Source organism: Homo sapiens, chromosome 7, assembly GCF_000001405.40.
Source record: "Homo sapiens chromosome 7, GRCh38.p14 Primary Assembly".
In the NCBI taxonomy this organism is placed as follows: Eukaryota; Metazoa; Chordata; class Mammalia; order Primates; family Hominidae; genus Homo; species Homo sapiens.
In genome coordinates, this window is record NC_000007.14 from 157,320,043 (window position 1) to 157,339,290 (window position 19,248).

The window sequence follows — 19,248 nt, forward strand, 5'->3', positions numbered from 1 at the left end:
CCCCAGGATCTCATCCTGAGCTATGATTGGGCCTGGAAGGTCACCCCTGCATCTCGTCCTGGGTCCAGCTCAGTCTAGGGCTGTCTTTGTTTTATTTTGTTGAGACAGAGACTTCCTCTGTAGCCGAGGCTGGAGTGCAGTGGCTCCATCCCAGCTCACTGCAACCTCCACCTTATGGGTTCAAGTGATTCTCATACCTCAGCCTCCTGAGTAGCTGGGATTAAAGGCAAGCACCACGACACCTGGTTAATGTTTGTATTTTCAGTAGAGACAGGGTTTTGCCATGTTGGCCAGGCTGGTCTTGAACTCCTGACCTCAAGTCCTGATCCACCTGCCTCGGCCTCCCAAAGTGCTGGCGTTACAGGCTTGAGCCACCCTGCTTGGCCTTGGGCTTGTCTTTGAGATGGAGTCTCGCTCTGTTGCCCAGGCTGCAGTGCAGTCGTGCCATTTCAGCTCACTGCAACCTCCGTTTCCTGGGTTCAAGTGATTCTCCTGCCTCAGCCTCCTGAGTAGCTGGGATTACAGGCGCACGCCACCAAGCCTGGCTAATTTTTTTTTTGTATTTTTAGTAGAGACGGGGTTTCAACATGTTGATCAGGCTGGTCTGGAACTCCTGACCTCATCAGCTGCCCGCCTTGGCCTCCCAAAGTGTTGGGATTACAGGCTTGAGCTACCGCCCCCGGCCTGGGCTTGTCTTTTGTTGTTGTTGTTGTTGCTGAGGCTGGTCTCAGACTCCTGTGCTCAGTGATCCTATTGCCTCAGACCTTCAAGCAGCTGGAACTGCAGGTGGAAGCCACCACAGCATTCTGAGCCCAGAACTCTGGGCTCAGAGCCTGGCTTTTTCATTTTTATACTGTGGTTTTTGGAAAGTGAAAGTGTTTAATTTTGAAGAGATCTAATTTATGAATTTTCTTTTTTTTTTTTTTTTTTGAGACAGAGTCTCATTCTGTTGCCCAGGCTGGAGAGCAGTGGCACAGTCTTGGCTCACTGCAACCTTTGACCCCCGGGTTCAAGCGATTCTCCTGCCTCAGCCTCCCTAATAGCTGGGATTACAGGTACCTGCCACCGTGCCCGGCTAATTTTTGTATTTTTAGTGTAGGCGGTGTTTCACCAGCTTGGCCAGGCTGGTCTTGAACTTTTGACCTTGCGATCCTCCCGCCTCGGCCTCCCAAAGTGCTGGGATTACAGGCATAAGCCTCTGCGCCCAGCCATGAATTTTTTTCTTTTATGGCAAATGCTTTTGGTATCCTGAGCAAAAAAACTCTGCCTCCCAGAAAGTCTCAATTATTTTCACCTGTTTTCTTCTAGAAGTGTTATTGTTTCAGATTTTCATTTGAGTTTGTGATCTCTCTTGAGTTAATGTTTGTATACAGTGCAAGGTAGGGATATTTATTTTTATGTTTATTTTTGGAGATAGAGTCTCACTCTCGCCCAGGCTGGAGTGGAGTGGTGTGATCTCAGGTCACTGCAACCTCCACCTCCTGGGTTCAAGTGATTCTTATGCCTCAGCCTCCCGAGTAGCTGGGATTACAGGCATGCACCACCATGCCTGGCTAATTTTTGCATTTTTAGTAGAAATGGGGTTTCACCATGTTGGCCAGGCTGGTCTCAAACTCCTGACCTCAAGTGATCTGTCTGCCTCGGCCTCCCAAAATGCTGGGATTACAGGCATAAGCCACTGTGCTGGGCCACCTAATTTTCAAAAGTTTGGTAGAAATGGGGTCTCACTATGTTACTCAGCCTGGTCTTGAACTCCTGAGCTCAAGCTATCCTCCCGTCTCGGTTTCCCAAAGTGCTGGGATTATAGGGATGAGCCCCTGCATCCAGCGGAAATAAAATTTTTAGAATAAAACTCTTGCATTTTTTGATGGCAGCCCTTATATACTTGGTATTATTATTACTACTATGAATGATATTGAAATCACAGTGAATGCCAATTTGCAAAACATATGAAATACAGAATTAGGCCGGGCGTGGTGACTCATGCCTGTAATCCCAGCACTTTGGGAGGCCGAGGTGGGCATATCATGAGGTCAAGAGATTGAGACCATCCTGGCCAACATGGTGAAACCCTGTCTCTACTAAACACACAAAACTTAGCTGGGCGTGGTGATGCATGCCTGTAGTCCCAGCTACTCGGGAGGCTGAGGCAGGAGAATTGCTTGAATTCGGGAGGCAGAGGTTGCAGTAAGCTGAGATGGAGCCACTGCACTCTAGCCTGGTGACAGAGTGAGACTCCGTCTCAAAAAAATAAATAAAACAAATAAATACAGAATTAATTTCAGTTATGAGCAACTAAATTTTAACTGATAAAATAGAAAGCCCTCAGCAAGGTCAGGAGCTCAAACATGGCCAAGTGCGGTGGCTCACCCCTGTAATACCAGCACTTTGGTAGGCCAAGGTGGGCAGATCACGAGGTCAGGAGATCGAGACCATCCTGGCTACGGTGAAACCCAGTCTCTACTAAAAATACAAAAAAAATTAGCCGGGCGTGGTGGCTGGCGCCTGTAGTCCCAGCTACTTGGGAGGCTGAGGCAGGAGAATGGCGTGAACCCAGGAGGCGGAGCTTGCAGTGAGCTGAGATTGCACCACCGCACTCTAGCCTGGGCATCAGAGAGAGACTCCATCTCAAAAAAAAAAAAAAAAGGAGCTCAAACATGTATTACTTTATATCAAAATAATGATTTGGTCCCATACTTTGTTCTGGGAAGGGTAGGGAATATCTCTTCAATAGAAATTTGGCCGGGTGCGATGGCTCATGTCTGTAATCTCAGCACTTTGGGAGGCCGAGGCTTGTGGATCACCTGAAGTCGGGAGTTCGAGACCACCCTGGCCAACATGGAGAAACCCCGTCTCTACTAAAAATACAAAAATTAGCTGGGCATGGTGGCATGTGCCTGTAATCCCAGCTACTCAGGAGGCTGAGGCATGAGAATCACTTGAACCCAGGAGGTGCAGGTTACTGGGGGCTGAGATCATGCCACTGTACACCAGCCTGGGCGACAGAGCGAGATTCTGTCTCAATAAATAAATAATAAATAAATGAACAAATCAAAAACAGGCACATGCCTGTTGTCGTAGCTACTCAGGAAGCCGAGGTGGGAGGATCACTTGAGCTGGGGAGATGGAGGCTGCAGAGAGCCGTGAGCACGCACTTCATTCTAGCTTGGGCAACGTGGTGAGACTGTGTAAAAAATATATTTAAAAAAAATAAATACAAATAAAAAATTATTTCAATTAAATTGATTATAATTGAAAATTATAATAATTTGAAAGCAGTAAATATTTTATCGAATCGGAATTTGAAGTGCTAACACAGATTCAACATATTTCTAGGGCAGATGGCAGGTCTTAAGGCTCAGCTCTGTTGAAAGGGACGGTGTCTGTGAAACTAACTGGAGCCTCCTGGGGCTTCAGTGTTGGTCCCAGCTGAACTTTTTTGTTTGTTTTGTTTTGTTTTTGAGACAGGGTCTCACTCTGTCACTCAGGATGGAGTACAGTGGTGTGATCTCAGCTCGCTGCAGGCTTGACCTTCCAGACTCAACCTATCCTCCCACTTTAGCCTCTCTAGTTACTGAGACTACAGTCACGTGCCACCATGCCCAACCAATTTTTCTTTTTTTAAATTTTTGTTCTGAGACACAGTCTCCCTCTGTTGCCCAAGCTGGAGTACAGTAGTGCAATCTTGGCTTACTTCAACCTCTGCCTCCTGGGTTCAAGCGATTTTCCTGCCTCAGCCTCCCAAGTAGCTGAGATACGGAGGCACCCGCCACCATGCCTGGCTAATTTTTGTATTTTTAGTAGACACAGGATTTCACCATGTTGGCCAGGCTGGTCTCACCTCATGTGATCTGCCTGCATTGGCCTCCCAAAGGGCTGGGATTACAGGTGTGAGCCGCCGCGCTGGCCTCCAGCATTTGTTTTTTTCCTGAAGCTTTCCCTCCTCGCATTCTCCTCTCTCACGTAAGCCCTATGCTGTTGTTCCCCAAGATACTCTTTTTCTTCCTTTTAAACCTTACCTATTCTCTAAAATGGGTGACTACTATTAGTTTAGTATTAGAGGGAACCCACTTGGTGATAGTGTTTGCATTGCTTTCTCTATTGGAATTTGTGTGTGTGTTTTAGTAGAGATGGGGTTTCACCATGTTGCCCAGGCTGGTCTCGAACTCCTGAGCTCAGGCAATCTGCCCGCCTTGGCCTCCCAAAGTGCAAGGATTACAGGCGTGAGCCACTGCACCTGGCCTCTGTATTAGAATTGTATAGAGATACTTGTTTTGTGTTTTCTTTTTTTTGAGATGGAGTTTTTGCTCTTGTTGCCCAGGCTGGAGTGCAATGGTGTGATCTCATCTCACTGCAACCTCTGCCTCCCAAGTTCAAGCAATTCTCCTGCCTCGGCCTCCCGAGTGGGTGGGATTACATGTGCTCACCACCACACCCAGCTAATTTTTGTATTTTTAGTAGAGATGGGGTTTCACCATGTTGGCCAGGCTGGTCTCAAACTCTTGACCTCAAGTGATCCACCCCCCTCGGCCTCCCAAAGTGCTGGGATTACAGGGGTGAGCCACTGTGCCCGGCCTAGAGATACTCTCTTTTTTTTTTTTTTTTGAGACAGAGTCTTGCTCTGTCGCCCAGGCTGGCGTGCAGTGGTGCGATCTCGGCTCACTGCAACCTCTGCCTCCCAGGTTCAAGCGATTCTCCTGCCTCAGCCTCCTGAGTAGCTGGGATTAGAGGTGTGCACCACTGTGCCTGGCTAATTTTTGTATTTTTAGTAGAGACGGGGTTTCACCATGTTGGTCAGGCTGGTCTTGAACTCCTGACCTCAGGTGATCCACCCGCCTCAGCCTCCCAAAGTGCTGGGATTACAGGAGTGAGCCACTGCACCCAGCCGAGATACTCTTAATATTCCAATGTCATCAAGCTGGAGATAAGAAAATTATGCCTAATTTTTTTTTTTTTTTTTTTTTTTTTTTAGATGGAGTCTCACTCTTGTCGCCCAGGCTGGACTGCGATGGCGCGATCTTGGCTCACTGCAACCTCCGCCTCCTGGGTTCAAGTGATTCTCCTGCTTCAGCCTCCCCAGTAGCTGGGATTACAGGCACCTGCCTCCGTGCTCGGCTAATTTTTGTATTTTTAGTAGAGATGGAGTTTCACCATGTTGGCCAGGCTAGTCTCGAACTCCTGACCGCAGGTGATCCACCCACCTTGGGCTCCCAAAGTGCTGGGATTACAGGTGTGAGCCACCGTGCCCAGCTGATTTTTCTTTTTAATTTCTTTTTTTCTTTTGACTGCTCCTTATAAAGCAGGGCTAACCCAAAGGCAGCACTCCCAGAGTAGCCATGCTTAAAAATTTAAAGAGGCAGCAACAACCACTTTTCTCAGTGAACTAATTCCTACAGTTGAGGTCTCAAGCACAACCACACAGGGTTCTAACTAGGTGCTCTCAAGTACCAGGCAGGGTTTAACCCTGAGTTTCATTGTAATGTGTCCATGGTATTGCATGATGTCTAGATTTGATGTCCTTGCATTATGAGAACATAAGAACAACATATAGTAACAGAAACACATGATGCATGGTGATTTGGAGGAGTCTCGCGGTTGGAGGAGAGCGGACAAACCGTAATGATGTGAAGTGAAGAAGCACTCATTAGAGAAGTGCCCAGCGAGCAGAAGCAAACGAAAAAGAAAGCAATCGCTGTGAGCATCAGAAACCAATGTGTATGTCCCCAGTGAAGGGCTACCAAACGGAAGTTCCTGGAGCGCCAGGGCTCTCTGGGAAGAAACCCGTACAGGGTCCTGTGTGGCAATGGTGGGTCAATGGAAGCAGAGATACCAATGAATGTTTTCACTGGTCATTGAATTTCTCTTACCCTGTTTGTTAGCATTCATTCAAAGAAAACGAGGTCAAGGCCAGGTGCGGTGGCTCACACCTGTAATCCCAGCACTTTGGGAGGCCAAGGTGGGCGGATCACGAGTTCAGGAGATCAAGACCATCTTGGCTAACACGGTGAAACCCTGTCTCTACTAAAAAAAAATACAAAAAAATTAGCTGGGCATGGTGGCGGGCACCTGTAGTCCCAGCTACTTGGGAGGCTGAGGCAGGAGAATGGCGTGAACCTGGGAGGTGGAGCTTGCAGTGAGCCGAGATCCAGCCGCTGCACTCCAGCCTGGGCAACAGAGCTAGACTCCGTCTCAAAAAAAAAAAAAAAAAAAAGAAAACGAGGTCAATTTGTCCCATGGCGTACAGTGCAGATCCCCTGACCCACAGTCTGGAACTTCAGCTATTCAATGTTAGGCTGACTGTCGCGTGGGGTGGGGTGCGGTTGGCTTGGGGAGAGACAGCCTTTCAGTTTGACTTTAAGATTTTCTTGTTGGGTACAGTGGCTCACGCCTGTAATCCCAACATTTTGGGAGGCTGAGGTGGGTGGATTCATTGAGCCCAGGAGTTCAACACCAGTTTAGGCAACAAAGTGAGACCATGTCTCTACAAAAAAAAACATAAAAAATTAGCCAGGCTTGTCCAGCTACTCAGGAGGCTGAGGTGGGAGGATTGCTTGAGCCTGGGAGGTCAAGGCTACAGTGAGCTGTGGTCGTGCCACTGCACTCCAGCCTGGGAAGAGTGAGACCTTGTCTCAAAAAAGGAAAAATTTTCTTTTTTTTTTTTTTGAAATGGAATCTCGTTCTGTCACCCAGGCTGTAGTGCAGTGGTACAATCTCGGCTCACTGCAAGCTCCACCTTCCGGGTTCACGCCAATCTCCTGCCTCAGCTTCCCAAGGAGGTGGGACTACAGGTGCTCGCCACCACACCCAGCTAATTTTTTGTATTTTTAGTAGAGATGGGGTCTCACTGTGTTAGCCAGGCTGGTCTCGATCTCCTGACCTCGTGATCCGCCCACCTCGGCCTCCCAAAGTGCTGGGATTACAGGGGTGAGCCACCACGCCCGGCCAGAAGATTTTCTTCTGTCTCCTTCCTTCTGGGTTGGGGAACGGGATGATGCCTATTTTTTGTTTTGTTTTTTTAGTTAGTTTTTCTTTTTTTTTTTGAGATGGAGTCTTGCTGTATCACCCAGGCTGGAGCGCAGTGGCGCAATCTCAGCTCATTGCAACCTCCGCCTTCCGTATTCAAGTGATTCTCCTGCCTCATCCTCCCAAGTAGTTGGGATTGCCATCACACCCAGCTAAGTTTTTTTTGTTTGTTTGATTTTTTTGAGACGGAGTCTCACTCTGTCGCCCAGGTTGGAGTACAGTGGTGCAGTGGTGCGACCTCGGCTCACTGCAACCTCTGCCTGCCGGGTTCAAGCAATTCCCCTGCCTCAGCCTCCCGAGTAGCTGGGATTATAGGTGCCTGCCACCATGCCCAGCTAATTTTTTTATTTTTAGTAGAGATGGGGTTTTACCATATTAGCCAGGATGGTCTTGATCTACTGACCTCGTGATCAGCCCGCCTCAGCCTCCCAAAGTGCTGGCATTACAGGTGTGAGCCACCTTGCCCGGCCCCAGCTAAGTTTTGTATTTTTAGTAGAGATGAGGTTTTGCCATGTTAACCAGGCTGGTCTTGAAATCCTGACCCCAGGTGATCCACCTGCCTCAGCCTCCCAAACTGCTGGGATTACAGGTGTGTGCCACTACGCCCAGCTAATTGCTGTATTTTTAGTAGAGAGAAGGTTTCGCCAGGTTGGCCAGGCTGAAGGAGTGATGCCTGTTCTGAAGTGGGCACAGTGACGATGGTGACAAGCCTTGCCACGCTTGGGGTTAGTGTTTCATTTTATCCAAGGTGGCCTCTTCAGTCATTGCTTCAGAGGCTCTGTAAGGCACCCGCTAGAACCTTGGGATTCATTATTTAAAGCTTATTTATTGGCTGGGTGCGGTGGCTCACGCCTGTAATCCCAGCAATTTGGGAGACCGAGGCGAGAGGATCACGAGGTCAGGAGATCAAGACCATCCTGGCTAACATGATGAAACCTTGTCTCTACTAAAAATACAAAAAATTAGCAGGGCGTGGTGGCACGCGCCTGTAGTCCCAGCTATTTGGGAGGCCTAGGCGGGAGAATCGCTTGAACCCAGAAGGCGGAGGTTGCAGTGAGCCAAGATCGCACCACTGCACTACAGCCTGGGCAACAGAGCAAGACTTGTCTCTAAATAAATAAATAAATAAATAAAATAAAGCTTATGTATTGAGCTGCTGCTGAGAACATCCCTGTAGCTGCAAAGAGCATGCGGATCAATTGCTCAGCAAGACAAACACTAAATCCCCAAACCATTTTTGGATATTTTTGTCATTTAAATGAGCCTAGTGGTGATGTGACTGCCATGATACCAGTCAGCCATAAAGGGATCAATGAAAAGCAATTGGGGCTGGGCACGTGGTTCACACCTGTAATCCCAGCACTTTGGGAGGCCGAGGGGGGTTGATCACTTGAGGTGAGGAGTTCAAGACCAGCCTGGCCACCATGGCAAAACCCTGTCTCTACTAAAAATACAAAATTGGCCCAGTGCGGTGGCGCATGCCTGTTATCCCAGATCCTCGGGAGGCTGAGGCATGAGAATCACTTGAACCTGGGAGGTAGAGGTTGCAGTGAGCCGAGATTGCACCACTGTACTCCAGCCTGGGTGACAGAGCAAGACTCTGTCTCAAAAAAATAAAATTAAAAAAAAAAGCAGCTGGATGTGGCGGCTCAGGCCTGTAATCCCAACACTTTGGAAGGCTGAATTGGGCAGATCACCTGAGGTCAGGAGTTTGGGACCAGCCTGGCCAATATGGTGAAACCCTGTCTCTACTAAAAATACAAAAAGTAGCTGGGCATGGTAGCACGTGCCTGTAGTCCCAGGTACTCCAGAGGCTGAGGCAGAGAAATCGCTTTAACCTGGGAGGCGGAGGTTGCAGTGAAGTGAGATTGTGCCACTGCACTCCAGCCTGGGTGACAGAGCGAGACTCTGCCTCAAAAAATAAAATAAAATAAGTAAAAAAGCAATTGGGATTAATAAGAACCTACAAATAATTTTTGGCATCAAACTCATTCTTTTGTTTCTAGATCCCGGTATGTAGTTTCTTTTCACAGCTATTCTAAAGTAATGCTGAATGATATATGGAGAATATAGAAGACTTTGCAGAGCTAGCACGAAATTAAATTGTGACTTGATCTGTGACTATCACCCATCATCAGTATTATTTTTTCTCTAATGGTGTGCAGGTTTCCTGAGCACACAGAGTCTCCTGTGGATTCCTCCTGGGACACAGACCCTGTGCTTGCTTATTGTCAGGAGCTCACACTTTTCCTGGAAGGAGGAATGGGGAGCTTAATGCCACAGAGAGTTTACATGGAACTGGTGTAGTGGATGTGTGGGAGCTGGACTTGCCCACATTAGCTGAATTTGTCGAAGTGGTGTTTCGTATCTAATTCCCCTACTCAAGTGAGACAAACCCATCTGCGAAGAAATCAGAGGATGCAAGGCTGAGAAGCAAACTCACGGCCCATCTCGTGTTTAGAGAAGCCTGACTTATCTTTGATCCAGTGTCCTGAGGCAGTGTGAGGCTGCTCACCAGCTGCCAATGAAAGCCCGGCCTGACCCACTTTCAAGGCCACGCAGACACAACAGTCTCTCCTGCCACAGTCGGGATCTGTCACCACCAGCGGCCAGCCTTCGGGGAGTGCTGACCCGTGCTGACCAGCCTGACCAGCATGGTGAAACCCTGCCTCTACTGAAAATACAAAAATGAGCCAGGCGTGGTGGTGCATGCTTGTAATCCCAGCTATTTGGGAGGCTGAGGTGGCAGTATTGCTTATACCCGCTGGAACCCCGGAGGTGGAGACGCAGCACCAGGTGCTTCTGTCTCGCCCTTTCTACTCCACATTTCCTCTTGGTCTATTTATTCTATATGTGAATACATTCCCATGCCACGAGGTTCAAACAAGAAGTATAAAGGACAGTGTGTGAAAATTCCTATTCCCGGCCAGGTGCGGTGGCTCATGCCTGTAATCCCAGCACTTTGGGAGGCCGAGGAGGGCGGATCACGAGGTCAGGAGTTTGAGACCAGCCTGGCCAACATGGTGAAACTAAGGATACAAAAAAATTAGCCAGGCGTGGTAGCGCACGTGCCTGTAGTCCCAGCTACTCAAGAGGCTCATGCAGGAGAATCAGAATCACTTGAACCCGGGAGGCAGAGGATGCAGTGAGCTGAGATCGTGCCACTGCACTCCAGCCTGGGTGACAGGGTGAGACTCTGTCTCAAAAAAAAAAAAAAAGAAAAAATTCCTCTTTCCTTCTCTGCTTCTCAGGACTTACCCCTAACAGTTTTCTGCTCTTTTGCCCATCCCCAACCCCTGCAACTTAAAAAAAAGTTTTGTTTGTTTCTTTCGTTTGTTTCTTTTGTTTGTTTGAGACAGAGTCTCACTGTCACCCAGGCTGGAGTGCAGTGGTGTCATCTCTGTCCACTGCACCCTCCACCCACCAGGTTCAAGCAATTTTCCTGCCTCAGCCTCCCGAGTAGCTGGGATTACAGGTGTGCGCTACCATGCCTGGCTAATTTTTGTATTTTTAGTAGAGACAGGGTTTCGCCACGTTGGCCAGGCTGGTCACGAACTCCTGACCTCAAATGATCCACCCACCTTGGCCTCCCAAAGTGCTGGGATTATAGGCATGAGCCACTGCACCCTGCCTAAAAACAATTTTTTTTTTTTTTGAGACAGTGTCACACTGTCACCCGGGCTGGAGTGCAATGGCGCAATCTCGGCTCACTGCAACCTCCGCTGCCCGGGTTCACAAGATTCTCCTGCTTCAGCCTCCCGAGTAGCTGGGATTACAGGTGCACACCACCACACCTGGCTAATTTTTTGTATTTTTAGTAGAGATGGGGTTTCACTATGTTGGCCAGACTGGTCTCAAACTCCTGACCTTGTGATCCGCCCACTTTGGCCTCCCAAATTGCTGGCATGAGTCACTGAACCTGCCAAAACAATTTTAAAGCTAAAGAAAAGTTAAAAGAATAGAATAGGCTGAGTGTGGTAGCTCATGCCTGTAATCCCAGCACTTTGGGAGGCTGAGGCAGGTGGATCACTTGAGGTCAGGAGTTTGAGAACAGCCTGACCAACATGGTTAAACCCCACCTCTACTGAAAATACAAAAATGAGCCGGGCTTGGTGGTGCATGCTTGTAATCCCAGCTATTTGGGAGGCTGAGGTGGCAGTATTGCTTATACCCACTTGAACCGTGGAGGCGGAGGTTGCAGTGAGCTAAGATCATGCCACTTCCCTCCAGCCTGGGCGATAGAGCAAGACTTCGTCTCAAAAAAAAAACGTGTGTGTATATATATACGTTTATGTCTATTAAACATATATATTTTGATATTTTTATTAAACATATATATTTTAAAAACATATTAAACATATATACCATTTTGATATTTTTTATTAAGCATATATATGTTTAACAGGCAATATATTCACATAGTTTAAAACATATTCAGTGAACATCATTTTACCCTCAGCCCCCTCTTCTCTGTATTTTCTGCCCCACTCCCCAATGTCTTAAGTGTAATTGCAGAGTTTCTTATACAAATGCATGTTCTTTTTCTTTCTCTCCTTGCTATACACACTGTTCTAATGTTTTAAACCTTGCCTTTTTTTCTTACTTAGCAATATATCTTGATGATGATAAGATAAAGTGATTTCTAAGAATATATGTGAATAATTCTGTAATACAGTGAAAGTTCCTTACTCCTGGCCTCAAGTCATCCTCCCACCTCAGTTTTCCAAAGTGCTGGGATTATAGGCATGAGAAAGTTCCTGTTTAGTGTGTTTGAATAATCAGGGATTAAGCCAATATTTGTCTTTTTTAAAGCTAACATTTCTAAAATGAGCAGTGGGTAATTTATTTTGATGGCAGGAAACGTAACAAGTAAAGCACTTATATATAGGACTCTTCAAAGGTAATCAAATTTTAGGTATTCTTTGACAGTTTTGATTTACATACTTTCCTCTGAGGGTTTGAGCACAGGGATTTCATTAGAGAAACATTAAATAAGTATGTGTGTGAGATACCACAGTTCTCATACACTGCCCTGTTTATTTCTGATACCAGTATAGTAGCTATCCGTAGCTATCCTTCTTCCTATTTTACAGATAGGGAAACCGAGGCTTGTTGATGTGGGTAAAGTCAGTGCGTCATCAGCCCTAAAGTTTTATTGGGCATCAGGGGATGTGGGCACCACAGGGAACCATGCCTCGCACCCCTGTGGCCACTCAGCCTCCAGTCTGGCCCCAGTCAGCACTGGGTCCTCTTCCCTCTGCCCTGCAGCCTCTGTGCTTGCTGGCCCATGAAGCTTCTCGGTCCACTTTTGGCCTTGAACATTTCAGCTGCCCTCAACCCCCGGGGCTCCCTGCAAGCCATTACCCCAAATCCATCCACATTCTCCACGCTCCTCCTTTCTTTCTTTTATTTTTTGAGACGGAGTTTCACTCCTGTTGCCCAGGCTGGAGTGCAATGGCACGATATCATCTCACCGTGACCTCCACCTCCTAGGTTCAAGTGATCCTCCTGCCTCGGCCTCCCGAGTAGCTGGGATTACAGGTATGCGCCACCACGCCCGGCTACTTTTTGTATTTTTAGTAGAGACCAGGTTTCACCATGTTGACCAGGCTGGTCTTGAACTCCTGACCTCAGGGGATCTGCCCACCTCGGCCTCCCAAAGTGCTGGGATTATAGGCGTGAGCCACCGCACTCGGTCTCCAAAGACTTTTCACTCCTACTTAAATCTTTTCTGGGATAAATCCTTGTCATTGAAAGACCTCGTTGTTTCAAAAGAGTTAATTAAATATTACCATTTAATCTCCAAGGTGTTTATACCTGTCCTCCCTAACTGCTATGTGAAGTCCATCAGGATGGGGACCTTGTTTTGTACTGGTTGCTTTTCTTCATGATAAAATTTATTGTATTGACATGCTTCTTAAAAATTATGTATGTATTTGTTTAGAGACAGAGTCTTGCTCTGGCACCCAGGCTGCAGTGCCATGACATGATCACTGTTCACTGCAGCCTCGACCTCCTAGTCTCAAGTGCTCAAGTGGTCCTCTTACTCAGCCTCTTGAGTAGCTGGGACTATAGGTGTGTGCCACCATGCCCAGAAAATTTTCTTTTTTCTTTTTTTTTCCTGAGACAGAGTCTTGCTTTGTCACCCAGGCTAGAGTGCAGAAGCACGATCTCTGCTCACTGCAACCTCTGCCTCCCGGGTTCAAGCAATTCTCCTGCCTCAGCCTCCTGTGTAGCTGGGAATATAGGCATGTGCCACGACACCGGGCTAATTTTTTGTACTTTTAGTAGACATGGGGTTTCGCCATGTTGGCCAGGCTGGTCTCGAACTCCTGACCTTGTAATCTGCCCACCTCAGCCTCCCAAAGAGCTGGGATTATAGGCGTGAGCCACTGTGCCTGGTCATAATTTTCTATGTATTTATTTTTGAGACAGGGTCTGTGTTGCCTAGACTGGAGTACAGTGGTGCTCTACTGAAGCCTGGACCTCCCTGGGCTGAGGTGATTCTCCCACCTCAGCCGCCTGAGTGGTTGGGACTATAGGTGTGTGCCACCGCACTTGGCTAATTTTGCTATATTTTGTACAGATGGGGTTTCACCAAGTTGCCCAGGCTGCTGTCGAACTCTTGAGCTCAAGCAATCTTCTCGCCTCGGCCTCCCAAAGTGCCAGAAAAAAATAATTTATTTTTGGTAGAAATGGGGTCTTGCGGTGTTACCTAGGCTGGTCTGGAATTCCTAGGTTCAAGCAATCCTCCTGCCTCAGCTTCCCAAAGTGCTGGGATTACAGGTGTGCACCACTGTGACCAGCCTGATACGCGTTTTAATGTGTGTGTGTGTGTGTATATATATATACACACACACACATACACACACATATATTTTCTTTTTCGAAGGGGGAAAAGCTATTTGTGGCTAGCCTACCACTTACAATGTAAAATTCATGTCTGTGCTGCTTACATTTCAAGATGAGCTCACAATCACTGTAGGGACGTATTGACATGTAAAATGTCCCATGATAGTACTGTCTGTCCACACTGAGATGGAACTAAACCTCCATCAATCTGCAAGCAGATAGGTTACATGTGACAGTGCCAAGCTGTGCACATATCTGAAATTCCAGTCTTTGCTGAGATTATTTTAGGTTTTATTATGAGATGCCCATACTAACACAAACTATTATTTCTTCCTTTTGAACAGTCATTTATATAACCAGTAAAAAAAGAGAATAGAGGCTGGGCTTGGTGGCTCATGCCTGTAATCCCAGCACTTTGGGAGGCTGAGGTGGGTGGATCACCTAAGGTCAGGAGTTTGAGACCAGCCTGGCCAACATTGTGAAACCGCATCTCAACTAAAAATACAAAAAATTAGGCATGCATGGTTGCTCATGCCTGTAATTCCAGCTACTCAGGAAGCTGAGACAAGAGAATCACTTAAACCTGGGAGGTGGAGGTTGCAGTGACCCTAGATTGTGCCACTGCACTCCAGCCTGGAGGACAGACAGAGAGACTCAGTCTCAAATAAGAATAGAGAATCCAGTCAGATTTTCCTTTGCTAACTGATCATTTGCTAGAAATGACATGCAGTAATACAATTAAAGTTTAAGAAACACAAAAAATGAGCCCAGCACAGCGGCTCATGCTGGTAATCCCAGCACTTTGGGAGGCTGAGGCAGGAGGACTGCTTGAGCCCAGGAGGTTAAGGCTGCAGTGAGCCATGATTGAACCACTGCACTCCAGCCTGGGTGACAGAGCAAGACCCTGTCTCAAAAAAAAAAAAAAAAAAAAAAAAAAAAGGGCAGTATTTCATTTTGAAGTATAACAATTACAGCCATTAACCAAGTGTTCCAGTTGTCTAAAATGAGGCAGGTGTAGACGGAAAATTTTCCCTGTACTCTCTGAAGGTTTCACAACTGAGTCTCTGAACTAAGCTGACAATAGACAGATTCGTAAGAGAAAAAGTATACAAATCTATAACATGTACTAGGGCATCCCAGAATCCAGTGAGATCTGGAAGCTTATACAGCCCCTTCATAGAAGAGAGGGGAGGCAGATGCAGGCAGCTCAGGGGAGAGAAAATGATTTTTTGCCTTCAGAATAGGTGGTGGCCTGTGGCAAAATCTGTCTGGGTGTGCAGCTGACGTCCCTTGAAGCTCTTCTCCCGTGATCCTGGCTCATTCTTCCCTGGATGAGACTTCCAGGGAGGGGGTCAAGACAATTGAGTCCCTTTGGGATGATCTGTCTTTATGTAAATAATGGGGGATTCACAGAATGCCCCTCCCTGCATTGGCAGGTCCCCATGTGCCCTCAGTTTGAGGGCATACTAATGTGGTAATCAGTGAACTAGTTAGTAATCAGTATCCTAATATGGCATAATTCAGGGTGGCATTTCTCCAACTCTTTCATTACTAACGAGCTATTTTAAACCAAAAGTGATTCAAGTGTTAAAGTGCCTTTTACTTGAATATCTCCCAGGCTTAAACGATCACGAATTCATAAGCGTTGTTAGTTCAGAAGGTGGCTGAGCAGGCCCCCGGAATTCAGTGTCAGCATGCCACAGGATCTGAAGTTCAGGAAAGGTGTAACAAAAAGGGATTTTTCTTTTTTCTTGAGACAGAGTTTCGCTCTTGTTGCCCAGGCTGGAGTGCAATGGTGTGATCTCCGCTCACTGCAACCTCCTCCTCCTGGGTTCAAGCGATTATTCTGCCTCAGCCTCTGCAGTAGATGGGATTACAGGCATGCACCACCACACCTGGCTAATTTTTTTTGCATTTTTAGTAGAGACGGGGTTTCTCCATGTGTCAGGCTGGTCTCGAACTCCCAACCTCAGGTGATCCGCCCGCCTTGGCCTCCCAAAGTGTTGGGATTACAGGCGTGAGCCACCGCACCCAGTTGAGATTTTTATTTCTTAAAGGAAAGGATAAGGTGGGCCAGGACTAAGACAACACAGTAGCAAACATCTGGCTGAATGCTGGAGAGGAAGACAGTGGGAGATCCAGGCCAGGCTCCATGGACGAACTGCTTGTTGGCTCCTTAGGCTTTGGGTCTGCGGGACCCTTTCGCTACTGGGAATGGGAGCCTGTCTGACTGCACTGGGTCTGAGACTCCCTGCTCCTGCTGGTCACCATCTACACGCATGTGGTGTTGGTCTCCAGGGTTAGAACCAGAACCCCTGAGGACGCGGGAAAGGCTAGGAAGCCTGGGGATGACCTAAAGTCCAGCTATCAAAATGCGCCGCGTTTTCAGAAAAACTACTGCCACGATTTAACCTAAAAAGCTTCATCTGTATTTTCTGCCACAGTTTGCTTCCGTTTCCTTCAGTCACTATTCCCTGGCGAAGTCTCCACGCGCTCCCGTTCGCCGGGGAACTTAGGGTATCCGGGCTTCCCTAAATTGACAAGCGGGGGCCGGCGCCTTCGCCCGCCTTCGCTGGCCGCCGCTTGGTTTGTTCTTCTTCTCCTTCGGGGACTTCTCCGCCCGCGCCCGCGCCCGCGCCCCAGCTTTCGTCCCGCTGTGCGGAGATGCCACCCAGCTCCACCGCAGGACCGCGGAGCGAGAGGCGGCAGACGCGCTCCGGGGGCCGCCGGTCAAGAGGAAGATGAAGGGCGCGACGACTTCGCGGTTTCCAGAATGGGCTCCTTCTGGCCCAACAATAAGTGCCATTTGGAATCTTCTCGGCCTTCTCTGTGCCTTCCGCGCGTCTGGGCTCCCCGGTACCGTAGACCCGGCCCCGAGCTCCGCCCCCTCGCCCTGGGCTTCCCCGCCCCCTCGCCCCCAGTCTCCTGGGCTCTTCGGGGCGGCGGAAGAGCCGAGAACCTTCGCGAAGGTGGGGCGGGCGCCCCCGAGGTTGGGCCCGCGGTATGGGCAGTGGAAACTGCGCATGCGCGGCGTCAGGGTCGGGCGGAAGTTGACGCCGCCGTGCCGCCGCCGCGTGACGCATTTCCTGTTTGTTGTTGGAGAAAGGAGAGAAAGGAAAGCGCGAGGAGCCGCCGCCACCACCAGCGCAGCAGTCCTGGAGCTGTGAGGAGATTCGGGCCGTCACCCTGCCTCCCCTGCGTCCCGCCACCGGCCGCTTCTGTCCTCGGTGAGGGTCTGTTCCGAGGGTCGGGGGAGGTCGCCTAGGGCCCCGCGCGCGCCCGGCAGACGGCGGACCTCACCCGGCGCCTGGCAACAGCGCGGGGGGTGACCGGGGTCGCCGGCCGGGGAAAGGACTGGACGGGGCGGGGGCCGTGGCCGGGGTTGCGGGGCGAAGGGTGGGCGGGGTCCTCTGGGTCAGGTCTGGGGCCGGGGCCGGGGCTGGGGTCTGGGGCCGCCCGGCCGCGTCCTCCCCGCCCGGCGTCCTTGCCGGAACGCGGCCCAGCCTCCGCGGCGGCGGTTGGGGGTGGGGCCCGGCCTGGGAGCGGCCGGCTGGGGCTCGGCTGGGGCTCGGCGGGGCCGGCAGCGTGGGAGGCGTGGAGCGCCTTCTTTTTCTAAGGCTCCCGCACTCGCGTCTGAAACCAGAAACGGGAGTGGCTTGCGGAGCAGGAATGCCGCAGCCGTGCCGCCAAGTTCGGAGGGAGAAGAAGCAGGTGGGGGACCGCAAAGCCCTGTTTCTAGAACTCCGGACGGATTGTTCAGAAGTTTGTGGAAGAGCAGGCTGCCTTTCTCACTCAGAATGTTTGTCTGCTTTGCTTTGCGTTAAAGAATCTGCACCGTAGTTGATGCAACTGAAGTTTATATAAGAAGTTTACATTAACTCTTACCTAAGGAAGGTCAGTGACACACGCAGTGTAAACTGCAAATCATATATTGGCTCGAGAAAGGTTTTGGCACTAGCGAATTTTTTAAAGGATGGGTTTGCTAGTCAGACGTAAACTTCTGTGCTAACTTCTCACGTAAACGGGGCAGGAAACAGCGCAAGTAGAACGATCGTGCCACCACCGAAGGGGTGCCGCCTGCGAGCTCGGAGGCTTCAGCCTGTTTGGGAAGAGTAGGCTGAGCGGCGCTCTTTGTAGTTTTCAACGTTTTTATTGAGTTGCGAATTTTAGTAAGGATTTGTCGCTACAATTTAAGCCAAATTATTGATTTAGTAGAAAAGTTAGAGTGAAGACCGAAGAAAGGAAACAGACGTTAACCATTAAAGCTTGATTGCTGCTGCTTCGTGTTTAACCGCACTTTTCCAAATAGTGTTGCGTATCAGAACGATTCATGATTTCTGAAAGGAATTATATGCAGCCGCCTTACTCCTCCGCCAGTCCACCCGTCCCGCGTTCTCTCTGGGTTTACTCCAGACTTCCTTTTTTTTTTTTTCCTGAGACGGAGTCTGTTCTGTTGCCCAGGCCAGAGTGCAGTGGCGCGATCTCCACTCACTGCAACTTCCAGCTCCCAGGTTCAAGCGAGTCTCCTGCCTCAGCCTCCTGAGTAGCTGGGGTTACGGGTGCTCGCCACCATGTCCGACTAATTTTTGTATTTTTAGTAGAGACGGGGGTTTCACCGTGTTGGTCAGGCTGGTCTCGAACTTATGACCTAAAGTGATCGCCTGCCTCGGCCTCCCAAAGTGTTGGGATTAGAGGCGCGAGCCACCGCGCCTCGCCGACTCCAGACTTGTTTCCACTCCTGAGGGCCTTAAGCTCCCTTGGAGTTTGTGCTTTCACATTTCTTTCTGCCTTCCGTGATAAAGGGATGAATAGTTTTTATGCACGCTTCAGCGAGCTGCGGGTTTTTGTGGATTACGCAGGCTGTGAAATTTGGGAAGTAAGTTGCCTTAAGTTGGTAGATGTGGAGATTTGACAGGAAGTGGGAGAACAAAGGGGTTGGGAAGCTTTTGGAAAGTGTCCAGGCTTCATCTGTGCTGTGGAAGGTGAGAAAGTTGGGAATTCCAGAGGGCAGAGCTCTTAAAGAATTTGAGATGAGTTCAGCACTCTCTTCAAAACAGTGTTTTAAAATTTATTTTCTTCTGGATATGAAAGTGTTAGGTTTGGGAAGTAATTCTGGCTGTAGGACAGTTTTTCCGGAACACTAGGTGGGGAGTGTTGAATGTTGTGAAGACTAAAATATGCATATGGTATTACAGTGTGATACCTGTTACTGAGTGGCGTACATTAGCTTTCATTTTTAAGCAAGCCCGTAATTCCCTTCTATTAACTCTGTTTTGGACAGTGGTACCCGTCACCCTCATCAGTCTTCAACCTAGATAACCTAAATCCAGGTCTGAGGTGGGGGTGGAATGGTCTGTTTGCACCTTTTTTTTT

The 19,248-nt window shown here is 48.8% G+C and overlaps 1 protein-coding gene across 11 annotated transcripts in view, besides 8 other annotated features; it reads left to right on the forward strand.

The window, feature by feature from the left end:
- Positions 14,061 to 14,140: an enhancer, noted in NCBI's record as "active region_26926". NCBI's record gives its function as "activates an Ori minimal core promoter by ATAC-STARR-seq in GM12878 lymphoblastoid cells {active_cell/tissue: GM12878}" and the evidence as "EXISTENCE:reporter gene assay evidence [ECO:0000049][PMID:35858748]".
- Positions 16,410 to 16,912: an enhancer, noted in NCBI's record as "H3K27ac-H3K4me1 hESC enhancer chr7:157129146-157129648 (GRCh37/hg19 assembly coordinates)". NCBI's record gives its function as "activates a minimal SCP1, AML or CMV promoter by ChIP-STARR-seq in naive H9 embryonic stem cells {active_cell/tissue: H9 hESC(naive)}" and the evidence as "EXISTENCE:reporter gene assay evidence [ECO:0000049][PMID:30033119]".
- Positions 16,675 to 16,834: a silencer, noted in NCBI's record as "silent region_18863". NCBI's record gives its function as "represses an Ori minimal core promoter by ATAC-STARR-seq in GM12878 lymphoblastoid cells {active_cell/tissue: GM12878}" and the evidence as "EXISTENCE:reporter gene assay evidence [ECO:0000049][PMID:35858748]".
- Positions 16,913 to 17,416: an enhancer, noted in NCBI's record as "H3K27ac-H3K4me1 hESC enhancer chr7:157129649-157130152 (GRCh37/hg19 assembly coordinates)". NCBI's record gives its function as "activates a minimal SCP1, AML or CMV promoter by ChIP-STARR-seq in naive H9 embryonic stem cells {active_cell/tissue: H9 hESC(naive)}" and the evidence as "EXISTENCE:reporter gene assay evidence [ECO:0000049][PMID:30033119]".
- Positions 16,913 to 17,484: a biological region, named in NCBI's record as "H3K27ac-H3K4me1 hESC enhancer GRCh37_chr7:157129649-157130152".
- The window catches only part of DNAJB6 (DnaJ heat shock protein family (Hsp40) member B6), an 80,436-nt gene continuing 78,149 nt past the window's right edge, over positions 16,962 to 19,248 (forward strand). For 5 of the 11 annotated variants that reach the window (NM_058246.4, XM_006715823.3, NM_001363676.1 and 2 more), the window contains exon 1: positions 16,962 to 17,102. The gene's annotated coding sequence lies outside the window, so the exon portion shown is untranslated. Of the gene's footprint in view, positions 17,103 to 17,511; positions 17,770 to 19,248 lie in introns of those variants that run through there. The other 6 variants (XM_047419696.1, XM_047419695.1, XM_047419698.1 and 3 more) reach the window with 3 other exon arrangements.
- Positions 17,025 to 17,234: a silencer, noted in NCBI's record as "silent region_18864". NCBI's record gives its function as "represses an Ori minimal core promoter by ATAC-STARR-seq in GM12878 lymphoblastoid cells {active_cell/tissue: GM12878}" and the evidence as "EXISTENCE:reporter gene assay evidence [ECO:0000049][PMID:35858748]".
- Positions 17,295 to 17,484: a silencer, noted in NCBI's record as "silent region_18865". NCBI's record gives its function as "represses an Ori minimal core promoter by ATAC-STARR-seq in GM12878 lymphoblastoid cells {active_cell/tissue: GM12878}" and the evidence as "EXISTENCE:reporter gene assay evidence [ECO:0000049][PMID:35858748]".
- Positions 18,145 to 18,194: an enhancer, noted in NCBI's record as "active region_26927". NCBI's record gives its function as "activates an Ori minimal core promoter by ATAC-STARR-seq in GM12878 lymphoblastoid cells {active_cell/tissue: GM12878}" and the evidence as "EXISTENCE:reporter gene assay evidence [ECO:0000049][PMID:35858748]".